The sequence below is a fragment of the Homo sapiens genome, chromosome 14 (genome assembly GCF_000001405.40).
Source record: "Homo sapiens chromosome 14, GRCh38.p14 Primary Assembly".
NCBI classification, from domain to species: Eukaryota; Metazoa; Chordata; class Mammalia; order Primates; family Hominidae; genus Homo; species Homo sapiens.
Window position 1 is genome coordinate 62,186,880 of NC_000014.9, and position 22,829 is coordinate 62,209,708.

The 22,829-nt window shown below is 38.0% G+C and overlaps 1 annotated feature.

Moving 5' to 3' along the window:
* Positions 312–924: an enhancer, noted in NCBI's record as "NANOG hESC enhancer chr14:62653909-62654521 (GRCh37/hg19 assembly coordinates)". NCBI's record gives its function as "activates a minimal SCP1, AML or CMV promoter by ChIP-STARR-seq in naive H9 embryonic stem cells {active_cell/tissue: H9 hESC(naive)}" and the evidence as "EXISTENCE:reporter gene assay evidence [ECO:0000049][PMID:30033119]".

The window sequence follows — 22,829 nt, forward strand, 5'->3', positions numbered from 1 at the left end:
GTTGGCTATTAGAATTGTGATGGTTTCTCCTATAGTTCGAGATTTTAGTCTCTGCAAAGTAAAAGACTTAGAGGGGGGAAGCTGCCCCTTTCAGATGTGGTGTGGCATTTATTTCCAAGTGCACGTGTGAGTCTTCTGTCTTGGTAACTCTCCAGTGTGGTCATTAGTGTTTTCCAGTTGGTTAGTGTGTCTCTTCTCTTCCAATAGCAAGATAGGTGTTTCAAATTCCTAGGGCTTCTATCAGCACACATGAGGGGGCTTCTGTCCCTTGGTGAGCACTGGCTTGTTTATAAGCCTACAAACAGCACTGTGTGCTCAATATTCTGTCTGCACCTCTAGATTTACCTCCATTCTTCACCCTGATTTTTGCCCCCAGCAGGCTGACCTCTAAGGATCCCCTGGCTCCTGTGCCTTCTATATTCTGGTTGGAGTCAAAGGGAGTTGCAGGGAGGCAATCAGAGAGCAGGAGGAGAGAGATGCTATGGGATTATCTCCTCCACCCCAACACATTCCTTTTCTTCTGGGCTGCAGTCTGGCAGCGGCTGCATTCCTCTACTAAATGCCACAACTCCTTTCAAGTGGCTCCTGTCTGACAACTTCCTGCTGGGTTCCAGTGGCTGCTCTTTCTCTTGCCCCTTCAGATCTGAAGGACTCCTCTGTTTTCTAGTTCTAGGTACTGCCACTTACCTGTTCCCTTATCTCTTGCCACACCTCGGTAGTCCCTTTATTGAAAGTTCTTCAGCTATCCTCTTTGAGCACACTGTTTCCTAGCTGGTACATATTGACCTTGAGAAGGTTGATGCTTCCTCACCTACTTACTGTTGGGAAGAAAATGGAATATTTTAACTGCTCCTGCAATGTCAATACAGAATCGGCCCTTTCAAAGTCCAGTGCCATAGGATATGAAGAGCATTGCTAGAACAGCGGGACATGAATGTTCTACGTGGCTAAATACAATGATCTCCAGTATAAAAACCCAAATGGTCAAAGATGAACTCAAAGGATTGGAGTGAACACAGGTTTTATTATTACTCTTAGAACACTCTGGGTTATAAAAGAACTTACATTCTTTAACATAATTCTGTTGTTTTGATACTAACGTTTAGTGCCCATTGGATGGCAGTGCCAGGAATAAAATGTCTGAATTAAGCTAGTGGGGGTGATTGAGTTTATGGCCAGGAGCTACATTGGAGAGAGAGCCATGTCAGTAGCCTAACACTGGCAAGACAGTGACCCAAGTACTCTAGACTTGGATGTTTTTGATAGGTTCTTTGGAAAAACCTCTTCTAGGTCGTTAAGAAAGTTTGAAAGGCTTTAGTGGTTTAATTAGATAAAATGTAGCAGAAGGCAATATAACATAGGCACCCATAGAAAGGAGGGCAATGGTTTATAAGAGCTTGACTCTGGCTCACATCTGAGAGACAAGAAAACATAAATCCTTCAGTCAGATCCTTTTATGGGACCCACTTTCCTCATAGATTAGTTTATGTAAAAACTCCAGTAAAGAATAGCACAGAGACCTCTGTTTGTATGTTTGATGATTTTACTGTTAGGGTTTTATTACTTGGTTCATGTGCCCGAGGAAGTGAACGGGTCCATGAAGGATATATTTGTGAGGTTAAAGCCACATGTAGTTTATTTAACTTTTGCAGTTTTCCAATTTGGGTCTATATTTCAACCCCGAATTTTCTAATTTGGGGTCTACATTTCAATCAAAAAGATTAAATTTCTTTTCCTCTGTGTTTGTGGATCTCTCTGGGCGCCACCCTTAAAATTAGCATCATGGTTCCCATGGCAACTAACGTACCTGGAAGATGGCAAGAAAGGAAAAGGACTAAATAAAATAGAATGAAGCTGCATCTGAAAAACTGGAATTAATTATGAACTTGAACAAAGGGTTATACTGCAAGTGGTTGGGGAGATGAGTATTAAGCATATAAGGTCTTTGCTTTAAGACCTCTGTAATTCACTTACCATTTCATTACTTTGTTTATTCAGCAGCCCCCAAATCACTGCTAGTTTTCTTTTCCCTCTCACCTTCAATAGAGAACATCATTGGGGTCAGGACTGTGCATAGTTCAGGACGAGTTTACCTCTACAGGGTGCATTTTGTAAGATGTCCCCAAAGTCATATGGACCCTTGGTTATTGTCTTCGTCTGCACAGACTGCTGTAACAGCATTCCATTGACTGAGTGGCTTAAACAGCAGAAACTGATTTCTCTCAATTATGGAGGCTGGGAAATTAAGGAGCAAGGTGCTGGCTGATTTGTTTCCTGGTGAGGGCCCTCTTCCTGGCTTGTTGATGGCCGCCTTCTTGCTGTGTCTTCTCATGGTGGAGCAACAGATCTCCTGTCTCCTCTTATTTTTATAAGTATATGAATTCTATCACGCAGGATCTACCCTCATGACCTAATCTAATCCTAATTACTTTCCAAAGGTCCTGTCTCCAAATACCACCATAATGGGGATTAAGACTTCAACCTATGGAGGGACACAAATGTTCAGTCCATTGCATTCTGTTCCTAGACCTCTATAATTTATGTCCTTCTCATTTGCAAAATACATTTGTTCCATTCAAACAGCCCAAAAGTCTTAATTCATTCCAGCATTAATTCTAAAATCCAGAGTCTTATCTAAATATCATCTAAATCATATATGGAAGAGACTTGAGGTATGATTAATTCTGAGGCAAAATTCCTCTCCATCCTCTGAAATCAGACAAATTATGTGTTTTCAAAATGCAGTGGTTGGACAGGCATGAGATAGACATTTCCATTCCAAATGGGAGGAATACAGAGGAAGAAAGGGGTGACAGGTCTGAAGCAAGTCCTAAATCTAGCAAGGCAAACTCCATGAGGTTTTAAAGCTTTAGAATAAAATATTTGGTCCAGTTCTCTGCCCTTTAGACCCACTGGGGATGAAAATGGACTCTCTCCTTGAATGAATTTGAATCAGGCTCCTCTGAGTCTTCTTTCTGACTAAGCCCTGGCTTTGGGCCCTGGCCTTGGGCCACTTAGTTCAGTTTAACTAAGAACCCTGATGAGTCAGTCCAGTGCAAATCTCTCACCTTTGCTATCTTACCACTTTTCCCTGACTTCAGTAAGAGTCCTGTTAGGTAGCTTAGCCAGAATCCCCCCCATAGCCTTGATGTTTCCTCTTAGAAATCCACCGACATCCCCACCATCAAACCTGCTCCTTGGCTATAAATCCCTACTTGTTCTTGTTGTATACAGAATTGAGCCTGATCTCTCTCCCTGTCAAGCCCCCGATCTCTCTCTACTGTCAAGCCCCATAGCAGTGATCTCTTTTGAATAGAGTCTTTAACAAGTCATTAACAGGTGTCTAATTTTTTTTTCTTTAACAGTTATGGCTTCCACAACTCAGGATCAGATTCATTGGTGAGTCTAGATTATGAGCTAGTGCTCTGAATGGCGGTCCACTGATGCATGGTAGGGGCAGTTTCATTCTTATAATTAAAGGTACTTCCTGGGCTGAAAGTTCTTCCTGGCTCCTTATTTTGAGTGGGGTTCACTCCCTGACTTTTGGACTGAAAATTTTTGTCCTGGATCCTTGTGTGGCTTCTCTGTTCTATTTGATCCGACTTCTTTCATGGGAACTTCTCAGTTACCAAAACTTCCCTTCTTGAACTCGGTGTCAAATTTGGAACTTTGATAGCATCTTTGGGAAACATCTCCCCAAACTGGCTCCTCTAAGACCTTTCCCTTCCCATCACCTTCACTCCTCCTTTCTCCTTTTACCATGTTTTGTCTTCCCTTCAGCTCCTTTGTGTCCTTGGATAGTGTTCTTTCAAGCCCCTATATCCTCCACCCCTCTGCTTGCTTCTGCCAGGGCTTTCCCTTCCCAGTTCAGCTTCTCAGCTCCCTGTAGTCCCTGAAATTTTAGCCCCCTGACCCACTGTGGGACTCTCAAGGAACTCAGACCCCCAAAAGCAACTACCTGAGGCTGAAAAGAAAAAAAGCTAATTAGAAACAGATGGATAAGGCTTTGAATACACCCAGACAGCTTTGATGTCCCCTCAGTGTCTTGTCTAAAATGTAGTTTATTACCTCGATAAGATTACAGATCATAGCAAAAGGAAATCTTAAAAGTCTTCATAAATATTGGTAAAAGCACTCACCCTCATACTAAGCAGGTAACCTTAAGTTGTTTCATCTGTTACAAACACAATTTGGATAAAAGTATAAAATGGAGCAAAAAGTGAAAAACAACTCATGTAAACTGTTGAGTTTTTGTTTTTATGTCTGACTCAGGGCTAAAATTTTGAAATAAAACCACAGATCTCAATTTGCATCTTGTCTCTGTGTGTATATGTGTGTATATTATCATGTATATTTCCCTGCTTCTACATACTATTACCAAGTTTATAAAATCCCTTAAAGTAGTTCTGCTCTAATTGGCTTAGAAAGAAATAAGTGCTCATATGACTTGTCTTCCCAAACTCCCAGAAATGCAGCAACCAACTAAAATGTATTTCAAATTCACATGGGTTGGGTAAATATTTCCTAAAAAAGGGGCTAGTTTAATAGTATTGGTTTAATATAAACAGCTGTATATTCTGAGTTAGCATTAAATATAATATGAACATATATTATTATTTACTTGGGTTTACTAGTCATATGAGGTTAAAAATTACTTAGCAGGGAAATAACTGGAGATGATAGCCAGCCCTGTTCAATGTTATGTGTCTATCTAAAAATACATTTCCAAAAATCTTTTTGGTGACTCAAATCCTTTAGTTATGCTAAGTTAGATATTAAGAGTCTATATCGTTTCTAAACAAATGTACTTTCGAAACAAAAGTACTAAAACATACTTTGCTAAGTACAAGTTTACGTTTGTCTTCTTATTTACATATGATATACACAGAGAGAGACTAATTATATTTGAGCTTGTTAATAAACACGTTCTTTTTGCCACCTTGAGAATTTGTATTATGAAACAGCATATGCCTATAAAATGGTGAGGTGGTATATTCATAAAATTTGCTAGTCTTTCAGAGGACACTGTCGTGTGACAGGTAGTTTACAATCATCTACTCCTAGTTTCTCTATTTAAAAGTTTACTAATGGTTTAAAATTATAATCCAAATATGGGAATAAGGCTACTAAAATCATAAGAGAAACAACTCTGCATGCAAAATCTACAAGAAAAGTAGGATATATTTTTGATAAAACTATACAAGGTATAAAGGATGTATTTTTGTTAAGGAAAAAAGAGTAATTTTATTGTGAAGTAGAATGGCTGGTTATTCTAGAATGAGAGAGGGAAATGTGTGGAAAAAACCTCTAAACCAGAATGAATACAGAAAGTCGTAGAAGGTTCGCAGAGAAGTAATTTTATGTGTAGTTGAGCTAGCTAAGGGTAAATGCTTTTATTTTATAAATGGTTTTTAAAAAATGAACTCAATATCAAAAGTACACTGATATAAAACTAGAATTTTGGTGTCTTTCTGTCAAAAATGACAACATTCTCATGCAGTATTGACCTGCTGTTAATGAGAAATTGCAAAAAGGGTTTACCTTATCTTTCAAGTGATCTGCCTAGGAAACAAAGATTCTGTGTTTTATCAGAATATTTTCTTGTGATTTATGTTCACCTTTATCATGTCCTCGATTATTTAAGAGAACTGAGACGTTTCACTTCTAAAAGAGCTAAGTTTTTATATATTTTTGGCAATTGTGGGCTCTGAAATAAAATCCTAAATGAAATATTATTTTCAAACTGATCTTGAGGTTTTCCAGAGGCCCCCTGGAAAATCTCAAAAGATTTGTTCTTTCACTTTGTAGAAAAAGACATGTTAAAGATAATTTCATTAGTTGATACACCGAATTTCATGTAAAGCATTGTCATATAAGAAAAGATGATAATCTTTCCTAAATTATGTTTGTATGGGTAAATATTATTATAAATATTTCAGAAATTTTATGAAATTTCTAAACCTTTGTCAATGTCCTTACTTCCCATGATATGTCCTAATATGTTATTCGTTGTAATTTCACTTATTTTAAAATGTTATATACCACAGAAACAAATTCCCTTGTCAATGGTGCCATTTTAATAACCTGATTGGATTTTTAAAAAGCAGTTTTAGGTTTACAGCCACATGAAAGGAAGTACAGGTATCTCTCACATGCTCCCTACTCCCACACATGCATCTCCTGTCCCATTACCAACATCCCCCAGCAGAGTGGTGCATTTGTTACAGTTGAACCTACATTGACAAATCATAATCACCTAAAGTCCATCACATTAGGGTCCACTGTTGATGTGTGTTCTAAGGGTTTGGACAAAATGTATACTGACATATTCACCATTATAGTATTGTAGGGAGTAGTTTTACTGCTCTAAAAATTCTGTGTTCTCAGGAATAGAAAACCAAACACCACATGTTCTCACTCGTAAGTGGGAGTTGAACAATGAGAACACGTGGACACAGGAAAGGGAACATCACACACCAGGGCCTGTTGGCCGGGGAGCAGTGGGGGGAAGGGGAGGGAGAGCATTAGGACAAATACCTAATGCATATGGGGCTTAAAACCTTAGATGACAGGTTGATCAGTGAAGCAAACCACTATGGCACATGTATACCTATGTAACCTGCACATTCTGCACATGTATCCCAGAAGTTAAAATTAAAAAAAAAAAAACTGCATTGCTAACCTCCCCCCATAAAAAGTAAATCCTGTGTTCTGCCCATTTATCACTTCCTACCCCCTAACCCCTGGCAACTTTTGATTTTTTTACTGTCTCTATAGTTTTGCCTTTTCCAGAATATAATATGGTTGGAATTATACAGTATGCAGCCTTTTCAGAGTGGTTTCTTATGTTTAGTAATATGTGTTTAAATTTACTCCATGTTTTTTCATGATTTGATGTCTCATTTTCAGCACTGAGCAATATTCCATTTTCTGTGCATACCACAGTTTATGTATTCACCTATTGAAGCACATCTTGGTTGCTTCCAAGTTTTGTCAATTATGAACAAAGCTGCTATAAAAATCCATGTGCAGCTTTTTGTATGGATATAAGTTTTTATTTCCTTTGAGTAAGTGCCAGGGAGCACAATTGCTGGATCATACAGTAAAGGTATGTTTAGTCTTGTGAGAAATTGGTACACAGTCTTCCAAAGTAGCCTTACCATTTTCCATTCTCACCAGTAATGTATGAGAATTCCTGTTGCTCCATACCATCAATAGCCTTTGGTGTTGTCAGTGTTGTGAATTTTGGTCATTCCAATAGATGTATTGTGGTATATCTTTATTTTAATTTGTATTTCTCTGACATGTGATATGGAACATCTTTTCATATGCTTATTTGCCATCTGCATATCCTCTTTGATGGGGTGTCAAGATCTCTGTTCTATTTTTTAATTGTCTTTTTTTTACTGTTGAGTTTTGAGTCCTTTTTTATATTTTGGGTAACAGTTATTTTTTAATCAGATGTGTCTTTTGCAAATGTTTTCTCCTCATCTATGGCTTATTTTGTTCTACTGATGTATTTTGTAGAGAAGTTTTTAATTTTAATAAAGTCCAGCTTATCAATGATTTTTTTCATAGATCATGCCTTTCATGTTATATCTAAAAAGGCATTATGATACCCAAGGTCATCTAGGTTTTCCCCTGTGTTATCTTTGAATTTTATAGGTCTCCTGTTATATTTAGCTCCGTGATCCATTTTAAATTAATTATTATAAAGGGTATAATATCTGTGTCTAGATTCATATTTTTGTATGTAGATGTCCAGTTGCTTAGCACTACTTGTGGAAAAGACTATCTTTTCTGTACTGTATTACCCTTGCTCCTTTGTCAAAGATTAGTTGACTATGTTAATGTGGGTCTATTTCTGGGCTCTCTATTCTGTTCCACTGATACATTTTTCTATTATGTATCAGTCTGTTCTTTCACCAATAAATACCACACTGTCTTGATTACTATGGCTTTACAGTAAGTCTTGGAGTTGAGTATTGTCAGTCTTCCAACTTTATTGTTTTCTTTCAATATTGTGTTGGCTATTCTGGGTCTTTTGCCTCCCCCATATTATCTTTAGAATCAGTTTGTCAATATTGTATCCACAAAATAATTTTCTTGGATTTTGACTGGGATTGCATGGAATCTATAGATCATGTTGGAAAGTACTGACCTCTTGACAATATTAAGTTTTCCTACCCATAAACATGGAGTATCTCTTTTTATTTAGTTTGTTCTTGATTTCTTCAATCACTTCTGTAGTTTTCCTCATACAGATCTTGAACATATTTTGTTAGATTTATTCCTAAGTATTTATTCCTAAGTATTTTTGTGAGCTGCTACTGTAAATGGTATTGTGTTTTTATATGAAAGTGATTTTTTTTGTATACTAATCTTTTATCCTGCAACTTTGCTATAATTGCTTATTCCAGAATTCTTTTGGATTTTCTACATAGATGATTATGTCATCTGCAAACAAAGATAGGCTTATGGCTTCCTCCCCTATCAGTATTCCTTTTATTTTCTTGTCTTATTTCATTAGCGAAGACTTCCAATATGATGTTAAAAACTAGTGATGGGCGAGACCCTGTCTCAAAAAAAAAAAAAGTATTTGCCAAATAGACACAGTCCTCTCAAAAGGAGTTGGCAGAATAACACCCCTTCCTACCACATATCCTCAGAACCTGTGCATTTGTTAGGTTACGAAACATAAGGGAAATAAGATTGCTAATCAGCTGACCTTAAAACAAGGAGAGGATCCTGCCTTACTAGGTGGGCCCAATGTAATCACAAAGATCCCTCAATGTGGAAGAAGAAGGCAAAAAAGAGTCCGTGTCAAAGAGACTTTTAAGAGAGACTTGACTAGACACTGCTTGATTTGAAGATGGGAAGGAAAGGGTCAGAAGCCAAGGAGTGTGTGTGCCGTCTAGAAGCTGGAAAAGGCAAGAAAGTAGATTCTCCCCTAGAGCCTTCCGAAAGGAGTGCAGCCCTGCTGATGCCTTAATTTTAGTCTAGTGAGACCAGGTGGACTTTAGACCAATAGAACTGTCAGATGATAGTATGTTTTAAGCCGCTAAAATTGTGGCAATTTATTAAAGTAACAAAATAGAAAACCTAATATAGGTCTCATGTAGAAGTTTCCATCATTTTTATTTTCTACAATTCTGGCTTACATCTTATTGCTCCATCCTTCCTAATGATAGACTTCATCCCACACAGACCAGTGTTTTCAGAGACTGGCTTATTGATTCAGTAATGGGCTGGGGAAAACAGCACACAAAAGGACATACAATATCTAAGCCTCCGCCTGGGCCACACGACAAGATTCAGAATCGTCTTTGGTATAATGGGTACCCAACTTCATGTGAAAGCCCAAGTTCGGGTTAATGTGAGAGCATTAAGAATTCACTGGCCTAGGCCTGGGAACTAATGCAGTCCGATACGTTCAGCCTCAAAGGAGAAGAAATGACTTGAAGGACATAAGTTGTGAGTTTGCCAATTGTTTTTTTCATTTAAATAGCATCACACGGTAAAAGTAGTAGCTAAAATAATTTTAATGAAAATAATTTTGTGAAATAAAGGCCACTTGGGGAGTATTTGAGCAACACCCAAAAACAAACAAACAAACAAAAAACTAGTGATGAGAGGAGACATCCTTTCCTTGTTCCTGATTTTAGTAAGAACGCTTCCAGTTTGTAAACATTTAGTATGAGGTTAACTATAGCTTTTTTTGTAGATACTCTTCAAGTTGAGAAAATTCCCATCTATTCGTAGTTTACTGAGAGATTTTTTTTAATCATGAATGGTATTGGCATTTGTCAAATGCTTTTTTGCATCTATTGATGTGATCATGTGATTTTTATTTTTTAGCCTTTATATGTAATGTATTATCTTAATTGATTTTCAATGTTGAACCAGCCTTTCATACCTGAGATAAATTATGGTGTATAATTCTTCTTTCCTTAGTCTGGCTAGAGGCCTATCAATTATATTAATCTTTTTAATCTTAATGATCCTAGCTTTTGGCTTCATTGATTTTCTGTATTTCCAATTTTATTGATTTCTGCTGTAATTTTAATTATTTTCTTTTTTCTGTTTACTTTGAGTTTAATTTGCTGTTTCCAGTTTCCTAAGATAAAAACATAGATCATTGATTTTAAATCTTTCTTCTTTTCCAATACATGAAGAAAATGCTATAAATTTTCCTCTAAGTATTTCTTTCACTGCCTCTCACCACATTTGATGCTGTATTTTAATTTTCAATAAATTCAAAATGCTTAAAATTTTCTTTTAAGATTTCTTTTTTGACGCATGTGTTATTCAGAAATGTTCTTAGCCTCCACGTATTTTGGGATTTTCCAGTTCTTTCTGTTACAGCTTTCTAGTTTAATTTCATTTTGATCTAAGAACAGACATATAATATCTGTTCTCTTAAATCTGTTAAGGTGAGATTTGTGACCCAGAATGCGGTCTACCTTGGTGAATGTTTCATGTGAGCTTGAGAAGAAAGTATATTCTGCTGTTGTTGGATGAAGTAGTATCTAGGTGTCAATTATATACAGCTGATTGATGGTATTGTTGAGTTCAACTGTATCCTTCTTGCTTGCTGGATCTATCCATTTCTAATAGAGGAATCTCAAACTCTTCATCTATAATAGTGGATTCTTCTGTTTCTTTTTGCAGTTCTGTTAATTTTTTTGCCTTTTCTTTGTTCCTATTTTTATGTTCCACATTTTTTTTTTGCATTTTGTGGTTCTAACTGAGCAGTTTGTGTAATTCAATTTTATTTAGCTTGCTATATATATACACTTTACCTTTTATATATATTATATAATATATTATAATATATAATATATATAATATATAGTATAATATAATATATAGAATGTAATGTATATATAATATATAATATAATAAATATAATGTAATATATAATATATAATATAATATATATAATGTAATATATAATATATAATATAATATATATAATGTAATATATATATAAAATATATAATATAATATAATGTAATATATATATAATATATAATATAATATATATAATGTAATATATATAATATATAATATAATATATATATATTTTACCTTTTTTGAGTGGTTATATCGTTTGGAATATACATGTACAACTAATCCAAGTCCAGTTTCAAATAACACTGTACTACTTCAAGGGAAGTGATAGCTTATAATAACAAAATTCCAATTTCTCTCACTTGTCCCTTGTATCATTCCTGTCATTCATTTCACTTATATATGTATACATAGCATAGATATACATAAAAAATAAACATATATAATCAGATATATTGTGGCTATTATTACCTTGAACAAATTTATCCATTAGATTAATTAAGGATAAGGAAAATAAAAGTTTTTATTTTATCTTATTTCTTCTTCCACGTGCTTCCTTTATGTAGAGCTCAGTTTTTGACCTATATTACTTTCTTTAAAGAACTTCTTTTAACATTTCTTGCAAGGCAGATCCACTGGCAACAAGTTCTCTCAATTTTTGTTTGAGAAAATCTTTTTCTCCTTCACTTTTGAGGGATAATTTCACAGGATGTACAGAATTCTAGGTTGATTTTTTGTGTGTGTGTGTTTCAAAAATGCATTTATTTATTTTGTTTAGGCAATATAGTCACATGGCTCAAAATTCAAAACTAGAGAAAAGTCTTCCTCCCACATCTATCCCACTCAGTTTTCTCCAGGCAGAAAGGCAAGATACAGTTTCCTCTAGGCAGAAAGGCAAGATACAGTTTCCTCTGTGTATTGACAGAGATACCTTATGCATGTAGAAATAAGCCCTCACACATAGTTATCCTTTTTCCTCTCTTTTTTTGTAAATGGAAACACATATTTTACATCTTAATTACACCTTAATTTTTCTGCACATTGCTTATTTTTCTTTAATGGCTGTAAGATATTCCATTATACAGATGCACTGTAATATATTTAAAGAGTTGCTTTTTTGATAGATATTTAGGTTGTTTCTCATATTGTGTTGTTAAGTTATACTAAATAAAGTTTTTGCACATATTCCATTTCACACATGTGCAGGTATCTCTATATTCCAAGATGAGGAATTTCTAGGTCAAAGAGAAAATATATTAGTAATTTTCATAGGTATTGGCAAATTGCCCTCTGTTCTCCTAAACCCCATGAAGTGTGGGTTTTTAAACTTTTTCATAATGCCTACGATATCTTCAAAGTATAATCTGTTTTCTTTTTTTTAATTATACTTTAAGTTTTAGGGTATGTGTGCACAACGTGCAGGTTTGTTGCATATGTATACATGTGCCATATTGGTGTGCTGCACCCAATAACTCATCATTTAACATTAGGTATATCTCCTAATGCTATCCCTCCCCCCTCCCCCCACCCCACAACAGGCTCCAGTGTGTGATGTTCCTTTTCCTGTATCCATGTGTTCTCATTGTTCAATTCCCACCTATGAGTGACAACATGCAGTGTTTGGTTTTTTGTCTTTGCGATAGTTTGCTGAGAATGATGGTTTCCAGCTTCATCCATGTCCCTACAAAGGACATGAACTCATCCTTATTTATGGCTGCATAGTACTCCATGGTGTATATGTGCCACATTTTCTTAATCTAGTCTATCATTGTTGGACATTTGGGTTGGTTCCAAGTCTTTGCTACTGTGAATAGTGCCGCAATAAACATATGTGTGCATGTGTCTTTATAGCAGCATGATTTATAATCCTTTGGGTATATACCCAGTAATGGGATGGCTGGGTCAAATGGTATTTCTAGTTCTAGATCCCTGAGGAATCGCCACACTGACTTCCACAATGGTTGAACTAGTTTACAGTCCCACCAACAGTTTAAAAGTGTCCTATTTCTCCACATCCTCTCCAGCACCTGTTGTTTCCTGACTTTTTAATGATTGTCATTCTAACTGGTGTGAGATGGTATCTCATTGTGGTTACGATTTGCATTTCTCTGATGGCCAGTGATGATGAGCATTTTTTCATGTGTCTTTTGGCTGCATAAATGTCTTCTTTTGAGAAGTGTCTGTTCATATCCTTTGCCCACTTGTTGATGGGGTTGTTTGTGTTTTTCTTGTAAATTTGTTTGAGTTCATTGTAGATTCTGGATATTAGCCCTTTGTCAGATGAGTAGATTGCAAAAATTTTCTCCCATTCTGTAGGTTGCCTGTTCACTCTGATGGTAGTTTCTTTTGCTGTGCAGAAGCTCTTTAGTTTAATTAGATCCCATTTGTCAATTTTGGCTTCTGTTGCCATTGCTTTTGGTGTTTTAGACATGAAGTCATTGCCCATGTCTATGTCCTGAATGGTATTGCCTCGGTTTTCTTCTAGGGTTTTTATGGTTTTAGGTCTAACATTTAAATCTTTAATCCATCTTGAATTAATTTTAGTATAAGGTGTAAGGAAGCAATCCAGTTTCAGCTTTCTACATATGGCTAGCCAGTTTTCCATTTATTAAATGGAATAGCCAGCACCATTTATTAAATAGGGAATCCTTTCCCCATTTCTTGTTTTTGTCAGTTTTGTCAAGTTCAGATAGTTGTAGATATGCGGCATTATTTCTGAGGGCTCTGTTCTATTCCATTGGTCTGTATCTCTGTTTTGGTACCAGCACCATGCTGTTTTGGTTACTGTAGGCTTGTAGTAGAGTTTGAAGTCAGGTAGCATGATGCCTCCAGCTTTGTTCTTTTGGTTTAGGATTGCCTTGGCGATGCGGGCTTTTTTTTGGTTCCATATGAACTTTCAAGTAGTTTTTTCCAATTCTGTGAAGAAAGTCATTGGTAGCTTGATGGGGGTGGCATTGAATCTATAAATTACCTTGGGCGGTATGGCCATTTTCACGATATTGATTCTTCCTACCCATGAGCATGGAATGTTCTTCCATTTGTTTGTATCCTCTTTTATTTCATTGAGCAGTGGTTTGTAGTTCTCCTTGAAGAGGTCCTTCATGTCCCTTGTAGGTTGGATTCCTAGGTATTTTATTCTCTTTGAAGCAATTGTGAATGGGAGTTCACTCATGATTTGGCTCTCTTTTTGTCTGTTATTGGTGTGTAAGAATGCTTGTGATTTTTGCACATTGATTTTGTATACTGAGACTTTGCTGAAGTTGCCTATCAGCTTAAGGAGGTTTTGGGCTGAGACGATGGGGTTTTCTAGATATACAATCATGTCATCTGCAAAGAAGGACAATTTAACTTCCTCTTTTCCTAATTGAATACCCTTTATTTCCTTCTCCTGCCTGATTGCCCTGGCCAGAACCTCCAACAGTATGTTGAATAGGAGTGGTGAGAGAGGGCATCCCTGTCTTGTGCCAGTTTTCAAAGGGAATGCTTCCAGTTTTTGCCCATTCAGTATGATATTGGCTGTGGGTTTGTCATAGATAGCTCTTATTATTTTGAGATACGTTACATCAATACCTAATTTATTGAGAGTTTTTAGCATGAAGTGTTGTTGAATTTTGTCAAAGCCTTTTCTGCATCTTTTGAGATAATCATATGGTTTTTGTCTTTGGTTCTGTTTATATGCTGGATTACATTTATTGATTTGTGTATGTTGAACCAGCCTTGCATCCCAGGGATGAAGCCCACTTGATCATGGTGGATAAGCTTTTTGATGTTCTGCTCGATTCGGTTTGCCAGTATTTTATTGAGGATTTTTGCATCGATGTCCATCAGGGATATTGGTCTAAAATTCTCTTTTTTGTGTGTGTGTCTCTGCCAGGCTTTGGTATCAGGATGATGCTGGCCTCATAAAATGAGTTAGGGAGGATTCCCTCTTTTTCTATTGATTGGAATAGTTTCAGAAGGAATGGTATCAGCTCCCCCGTGTACCTCTGGTAGAATTTGGCTGTGAATCCATCGGGTCCTGGACTTTTTTTGGTTGGTAAGCTATTAATTATTGCCTCAATTTCAGAGCCTGTTACTGGTCTATTCAGAGATTCAACTTCTTCCTGGTTTAGTCTTGGGAGGGTGTATGTGTCGAGGAATTTATCCATTTCTTCTAGATTTTCTAGTTTATTTGTGTATTCTCTGATGGTTGTTTGTATTTCTGTGGGGGAGGTGATATCCCCTTTATCATTTTTTATTGCGTCTATTTGATTCTTCCCTCTTTTCTTCTTTATTAGTCTTGCTAGCGGTCTATCAATTTTGTTGATCTTTTCAAAAAACCAGCTCCTGGATTCATTAATTTTTGAAGGGTTTTTTGTGTCTCTATTTCCTTCAATTCTGCTCTGATCTTAGTTATTTCTTGCCTTCTGCTAGCTTTTGAATGTGTTTGCTCTTGCTTCTCTAGTTCTTTTAATTGTGATGTTAGGGTGTCAATTTTAGATCTTTCCTGCTTTCTCTTGTGGGCATTTAGTGCTGTAAATTTCCCTCTACACACTGCTTTGAATGTGTCCCAGAGATTCTGGTATGTTGTGTCTTTGTTCTCGTTGGTTTCAAAGAACATCTTTATTTCTGCCTTCATTTCGTTATGTACCCAGTAGTCATTCAGGAGCAGGTTGTTCAGTTTCCATGTAGTTGAGCAGTTTTGCGTGAGTTTGTTAATTCTGAGTTCTAGTTTGATTGCACTGTGGTATGAGAGACAGTTTGTTATAATTTTTGTTCTTTTACATTTGCTGAGGAGTGCTTTACTTCCAAGTATGTGGTCAGTTTTGGAATAGGTGTGGTGTGGTGCTGAAAAGAATGTATATTCTGTTGATTTGGGGTGGAGAGTTCTGTAGATGTCTATTAGGTCCGCTTGGTGCAGAGCTGAGTTCAGTTCCTGGATATCCTTGTTAACTTTCTGTGTCATTGATCTGTCTAATGTTGACAGTGGGGTGTTAAAGTCTACCACTATTATTGTGTGGGAGTCTAGGTTTCTTTTTAGATCTCTAAGGACTTGCTTTATGAATCTGGGTGTTCCTGTATTGGGTGCATATATATTTAGGATAGTTAGCTCTTCTTGTTGAATTGATCCCTTTACCATTATGTAATGGCCTTCTTTGTCTCTTTGGATGTTTGTTGGTTTAAAGTCTGTTTTATCAGAGACTAGGATTGCATCCCCTGCCTTTTTTTGTTTTCCATTTGCTTGGTAGATCTTCCTCCATCCCTTTATTTTGAGCCTATGTGTGTCTCTGCATGTGAGATGGGTTTCCTGAATATAGCACACTGATGGCTCTTGACTCTTTATCCAATTTGCCAGTTTGTGTCTTTTAATTGGAGCATTTAGCCCATTTACATTTAAGGTTAATATTATTATGTGTGAAGTTGATCCTGTCATTATGATGTTAGCTGGTTATTTTGCTCTTTAGTTGATGCAGTTTCTTCCTAGCCTTGATGGTCTTTACAATTTGGCATGATTTTGCAGTGGCTGGTACCGGTTTTTCCTTTCCATGTTCAGTGCTTCCTTCAGGAGCTCTTTTGGGGCAGGCCTGGTGGTGACAAAATCTCTCAACATTTGCTTGTCTGTAAAGGATTTTATTTCTCCTTCACTTATGAAGCTTAGTTTGGCTGGATATGAAATTCTGGGTCGAAAATTCTTTTCTTTAAGAATGTTGAATATTGGCCCCCACTGTCTTCTGGCTTGTAGAGTTTCTGCTGAGAGATCAGCTGTTAGTCTGATGGGCTTCCCTTTGTGGGTAACCCGACCTTTCTCTCTGGCTGCCCTTAACATTTTTTCCTTCATTTCAACTTTGGTGAATCTGACAATTATGTGTCTTGGAGTTGCTCTTCTGGAGGAGTATCTTTGTGGTATTCTCTGTATTTCCTGAATTTGAATATTGGCCTGCCTTGCTAGATTGGGGAAGTTCTCCTGGATAATATCCTGCAGAGTGTTTTCCAACTTGATTCCATTCTCCCTGTCACTTTCAGGTACACCAATCAGACGTAGATTTGGTCTTTTCACATAGTCCCATATTTCTTGGAGGCTTTGTTCATTTCTTTTTGTTCTTTTCTCTCTAAACTTCTCTTCTCGCTTCATTTCATTCATTTGATCTTCCATCACTGATACCCTTTCTTCCAGTTGACTGAATTGGCTACTGAGGCTTGTGTATTCATCACATAGTTCTCGTGCCATGGTTTTCAGCTCTATCAGGTCCTTTAAGGACTTCTCTGCATTGGTTATTCTAGTTAGCCATTCATCTAATTTTTTTTTCAAAGTTTTTAACTTCTTTGTCATGGGTTCAAACTTCCTCCTTTAGCTCGGAGTAGTTTGATCTTCTGAAGCCTTCTTATCTCGACTCATCAAAGTCATTCTCTGTCCAGCTTTGTTCCGTTGCTGGTGAGGAGCTGCGTTCCTTTGGAGGAGGAGAGGCACTCTGATTTTTAGAGTTTCCAGTTTTTCTGCTCTGTTTTTTTCCCATCTTTGTGGTTTTATCTACCTTTGGTCTTTGATGATAGTAACGTACAGATGGGGTTTTGGTGTGGATGTCCTTTCTGTTTGTTAGTTTTCCTTCTAACAGTCAGGACCCTCAGCTGCATGTCTGTTGGAGTTTGCTGGAGGTCCACTCCAGACCCTGTTTGCCTGGGTATCAGCAGTGGAGGCTGCAGAACAGTGGATATTGGTGAACAGCAAATGTTGCTGCCTGATTGTTCCTCTGGAAGTTTTGTCTCAGAGGAGTACCTGGCTGTGTGAGGTGTCAGTCTGCCCCTACTGGGGGGTGCCTCCAAGTTAGGCTACTCGGGGGTCAGGGACCCACTTGAGGAGGCAGTCTGTCCGTTCTCTGATAACAAGCTGCGTGCTGGGAGAACCACTACTCTCTTCAAACTGTCAGACAGGGACATTTAAGTCTGGAGAGGTTTCTGCTGCCTTTTGTTTGGCTATGCCCTGCCCCCAGAGGTGGAATCTACAGAGGCAGGCAGGCCTCCTTGAGCTGCGGTGGGCTCCACCCAGTTTGAGCTTCTGGGCCACTTTGTTTACCTACTCAAGCCTCGGCAATGGCGGGCACCCCTCCTCCAGCCTCGCTGCTGCCTTGCAGTTTGATCTCAGACTGCTGTGCTAGCAATGAGTGAGGCTCTGTGGGCGTAGGACCCTCTGAGCCATGTGCGGGATATAATCTCCTGGTGTGCCATTTGCTAAGACCATTGGAAAAGTGCAGTATTAGGGTGGGAGTGACCCGATTTTCCAGGTGCCATCTGTCATCCCTTTCTTTGACTAGGAAAGGGAATTCCCTGATCCCTTGAGCTTCCTGGGTGAGGCAATGCCTCACCCTGCTTCAGCTCACACTCTTTGCAGTGTACCCACTCTCCAGCACCCACTTTCTGACACTCCCCAGTGAGATGAACCTGGTACTTCAGTTGGAAATGCAGAAATCACCCGTCTTCTGCATTGCTCACGCTGGGAGCTGTAGACTAGAGCTGTTCCTATTTGGCCATCTTTGCTCCACCCAGTTGATTTTTTTTCTATCAACATTTTAAATCACTCTTTTTGCCTGCATGATTTCTGAGAAGTCAGATATAATTGTGATCATTGGTCCTCTGTAGGTAAGATGCTTTTTCTCTGTGGCTTCTTTTGGGATTGTTTTCTGTATCTTTGCTTTTCTATAGTTTGATAGGTATAGAGTTTTCTTGTTTTGTTTATGTTTTGTGTTTTTTTGGTCATTTATCCTGTTTGATTTACTCTGAGCTTCTCAAATCTGTGGTTTAGTGTCTGGCATTAACTTGGGGGAAATGTCCAGTCATTATGGTTTCAAGTATTTCTCCTGTTCCTTTCTTTCTTGTAGTTATCCCACAGTTCTTGGATATTCTGTTTTTTTCTTTCCTTTTTTTCTTCTTTCTCTTTGCTTTTCAGTTTTGGAGTTTTCTGTTGCTATATTCTCAATTTTAGAGATTCTTCCTTGAGCTGTGTCCAGTATACTAAGCCCATCTGTCTTAGTCTGGTTTTGCTATTATAACAGAATGCCACTGATATGGTTTGGCTGTGTCCTCACCCAAATCTCACCTTAAATTGTAGTTCCCATAATCCCCATGTGTCCTGGGAGGAAACTTGTGGGAGTAATTGAATCATGGGATCAGTTGCCCTATGCTGTTCTCATGACAGTGAGTGAGTTCTCACAAGATCTGATGATTTTATAAGGGACTTTACCCTACTTAGTTCTGGACTTCTCTCTCCTACTGCCATGTGAAGGACATGTTTATGTCCCCTTTGCCATTATTGTAAGTTTCCTGAGACCTCCCCAGCCATGCAGAAATGTGAGTCAAACTTTTTCATTTATAAATTAGCCAGTCTCGGGTAGTTCTTTATATTAATAGCAGTGTGAGAATGGACTAATAGAACCACAGATAGGGTAATTTATAATGAACAGAAATTTATTGGCTTATAGTTCTGGAGGCTGGAAAGTCCAAACCTGAGGGGCTGGCATCTAGCTAGAAACTTCTCACTGTGTTGTGCCATGGTAGAAGAGCAAAGATAGGGTGAGAAAGAGAGAAAGAGGGGGATAAAGTCTTTTTTTAAATAAGGAAACCTCCTGTCATAATAAATGCACTCACAATAATGGCATTAATCCATTCGTGAGGGCAGAACCCTCATTACCCAGACACCTCCCATCAGGGCCCACTTCCTAAAACCTCCACATTAGTGATCAAGTTCCAACACATAAAGTTTGGGGGATACATTTGAATCATAGCATGCCACCCATGGACCCCCAAATTTATGTGCCTCTCACATGCAAAATACATTTACTCCATCCCAGTAGCCTCAGAGTCTTACCTTAGTCTAGCATCAACTCAAAAGTCCAAGTCCAAAGCCTCATCTAAATCAGGTATGAGTGATACTTGAGACATGACTCATCATGAGGCAAATTTTCCTCCATCTGTGGCCCTGTGAAAGAAAAACAAGTTATCTACTTCCAAAATACAGCGGTAGGACAGCCATAAGATAAATGTTCCCATTCTAAAAGTGAGAAATAGGTTAAAAAAACGTGGGGAGGGGTAACTAGTCTCAAGTAAGTTCGAAACCCAACCAGGCAAACAAAACTAAATCCTGAGGCTTGGAAATAATCATCTTAGACTCCATGTCCCACCTTCCAGATACATGAGGGTAGGGCTTGGGCTACCAAGGCCTCAGGCAGCCCTGCCTCATGGCTTTGCTGAGTCCAGCCCATGTAGGAGCTCTCATGGATTGGAGTCTTTTGCCTGCACCTCTCCTAGGCTGTGCTATATGCTGGTAACTCTACAGTTCTGGGTTCTCTGTGGCAGCTCTGACTCCACAGTTCCACTGGGCATTACCCTACTTGGGGATCACGGTGGTAGCTCCACCTCTGTAACAAGTTTCTACCTGGGCCACCAGGCTGTCTGATACACTCTTTGAAGTCTAGGTGAATGCTGCCATGGCCCCACACCCTGTATATTCTGCAAGCCTAAAAAATTGGCACCACATGAATACCATCAAGGTTTACTGCTTGTGCTTTATGGAGCAGAGGTCTGAGTTGCACCCAGGCCTGCTTGAGCCCAACTGGAGCATCTGAAGAGTATTGTGCTGCAATGTGGGAGCAGAGACTTGAGGCATCCCGGGGAAGCAAGCCTGTGGAGGATGCCTCTGGCCTGTTGCTCAAAACCATTCTGCCTTCCAAAGCTCTGGACCTGTGATGGGAAGGGCAGCCTCAAATATTTCCAAATGTCTTTAGGGCCATTCTGCCATTATCTAGATGAATGCCACTTGGATTTTTTCTAGCCATACTGATCCCTTTATCAAGCATCACTTGTCTGGATCCTTGTAAGTTATGTTGTTCTTTATGTGACAAGGCTGCAAATCTTAAAAATCTGTTTGCTTTCCTTTTAATTATAAATTCCACCTTTAAATCATTTCTCTTCTCTTTTATTTTACTCTAGGCAGTTAAAAGAAGCCACAGAGCTCCTTCAAATTTTACATAGAGTTTCTTTTGCCAGATATCCTAGTTCAGTGATCTTAAACTCTGCCTTCCACAAAGCCCTGGGACATGAACATGATCCAGCCAAGTTCTTTGCCACCTTATAACTAGAATAGGCTTTACTCCAGTTTCCAAGAAGATATCCCTCATTGTTATCTGAGACCTCATCAGAATGGCCTTTACTGTTTATATATCTACCAACATTCTAATCATGACCACTTGAAAGTAATCTCTAGGAACTTAAATGTTTTCCCTACAGCTCTTCCTTTTTTCTGAACCCTCACCAGAATCACCTTTAATGCTCCTTTTATGAAAATATAGGCTTTTCCCAGCATTTCCTTGAAAAGTGTTCCAGCCTCTACTCATTACCCAGTTTCAAAGCCACTTCCACATTTTCATGTATTTGTTATAGCAACAACTCCAATTCTTGGTACCAATTTTTGGTATTAGTCCATTTTTGCTGCTATAACAGAATACCACAGACAAGGTAATTTATAATGAACAAAAACCTATTGGCTCATGGTTCTGGAGGCTGGGAAGCCCAAGACTGAGGGGCTGGCATCTTTCAAAGCCTGCTTTGTGTGTCATCCCATCGTAGAAGGGCAAAGAGAGGGTGAGAGAAAGTGAACAAGAGGGCCAAACTCATCTTTTTATAAGAACCCAGTCCTGTGATAATGAACCCACTTCCACAATAATGACATTAATCCATTCATGAGGGCAGAGCTCTTACCCCTCACTAGGCCCCATCTCCCACACCTCTACATTAGGGATCAAGTTTCTAACATATAAACTTTGGGGGGACACATTCAAACTATAGCACCATCAAAGGCATTCTTAATTTTTTTCTTTGATCTTTAGCATTTTAAAGTTGTTTTCCTATGATTTCTGTCTTCTTATTATACTGCCAATCTGTTTTTGCATGCTGTCCACTTTATCCTTTGGGCTTTTTAGCATATTAATGAGTTATTTCAAATTCCTGGTATGCTAGTTCCTACATCTCTGCCATGACTGATTCTGATGCTTGCTCTGTCTCTTCAACTTCGTTTTTTAGCTCTTAGTTTGTTTAGTAAACTTTTCTTTGTAGCCAGACACCATGTAATGGATAAAAGAAACTGCTGTAGATAGGCTAGGCCTTATTAATATGGTGGTAAGGTGTGGGAAGAGGAGAAGCATTCTGTGATCTTATGATTAGGTCTCAGTCTTTGGTGATCATTTGCTTCTAGACTGAATTTCATGAGTGCTTCTCAGACCATGCCTGCCTTAGGTGGGACAGAATGGCTAGAGCGGGCTGATTATTTCCCTTCCATGTGGTGTTTTTTTATTACTTTGTGCTGAAAACTTACTGGTCCTTTAAAGTTCTGTAGTCCATATATAAGGAACCTCTTTTTCTTTTCCATTAAGCAGTCTCTAACTCTCAACAATTTAGATTTTATACCTTTGTAAATAAAAATGAAACATTTATTTCTCTCTCTACCTGATCCCTCTATAATTCTGAATATTCTTTATGGTAATGTAGTTATTTGCATAAGTTTAATAAGAATATGTTATTCTTGTAACAGAACATAATTGGAAACATTTGTTATATTATCCAGGTTTTGACTGAAATGTCATATTTGAGTATGATGTACCTGGAATCAGTTATGATCAGACCGTTTAAATAAACTGAGGATGACTTAAGCACTTAAGCAATGAATGCTTATACAGCCCTCTTGGAAAAGCTGTTCTGATACTTGGATTATAAGGTCCTCAATCTTACAGTTGAGTAATTTCCTGGTTAGTCATTTCCTGGTTGGCCTAGGAAACATAGGATATTTTGGAGACCTCAAGAAAATATGAATTCACTCAAATCTAGTTACGGCAGGCACAGTCTAATGGCAAGTTCTTGGCTAGATTTCCCAGCCTTGAGAGGCTTTTTTGAAAGTCTAATCTGAGATTCCTTATTAAACATTCCAGCAAATCTGATTTAAAAATGGTCCT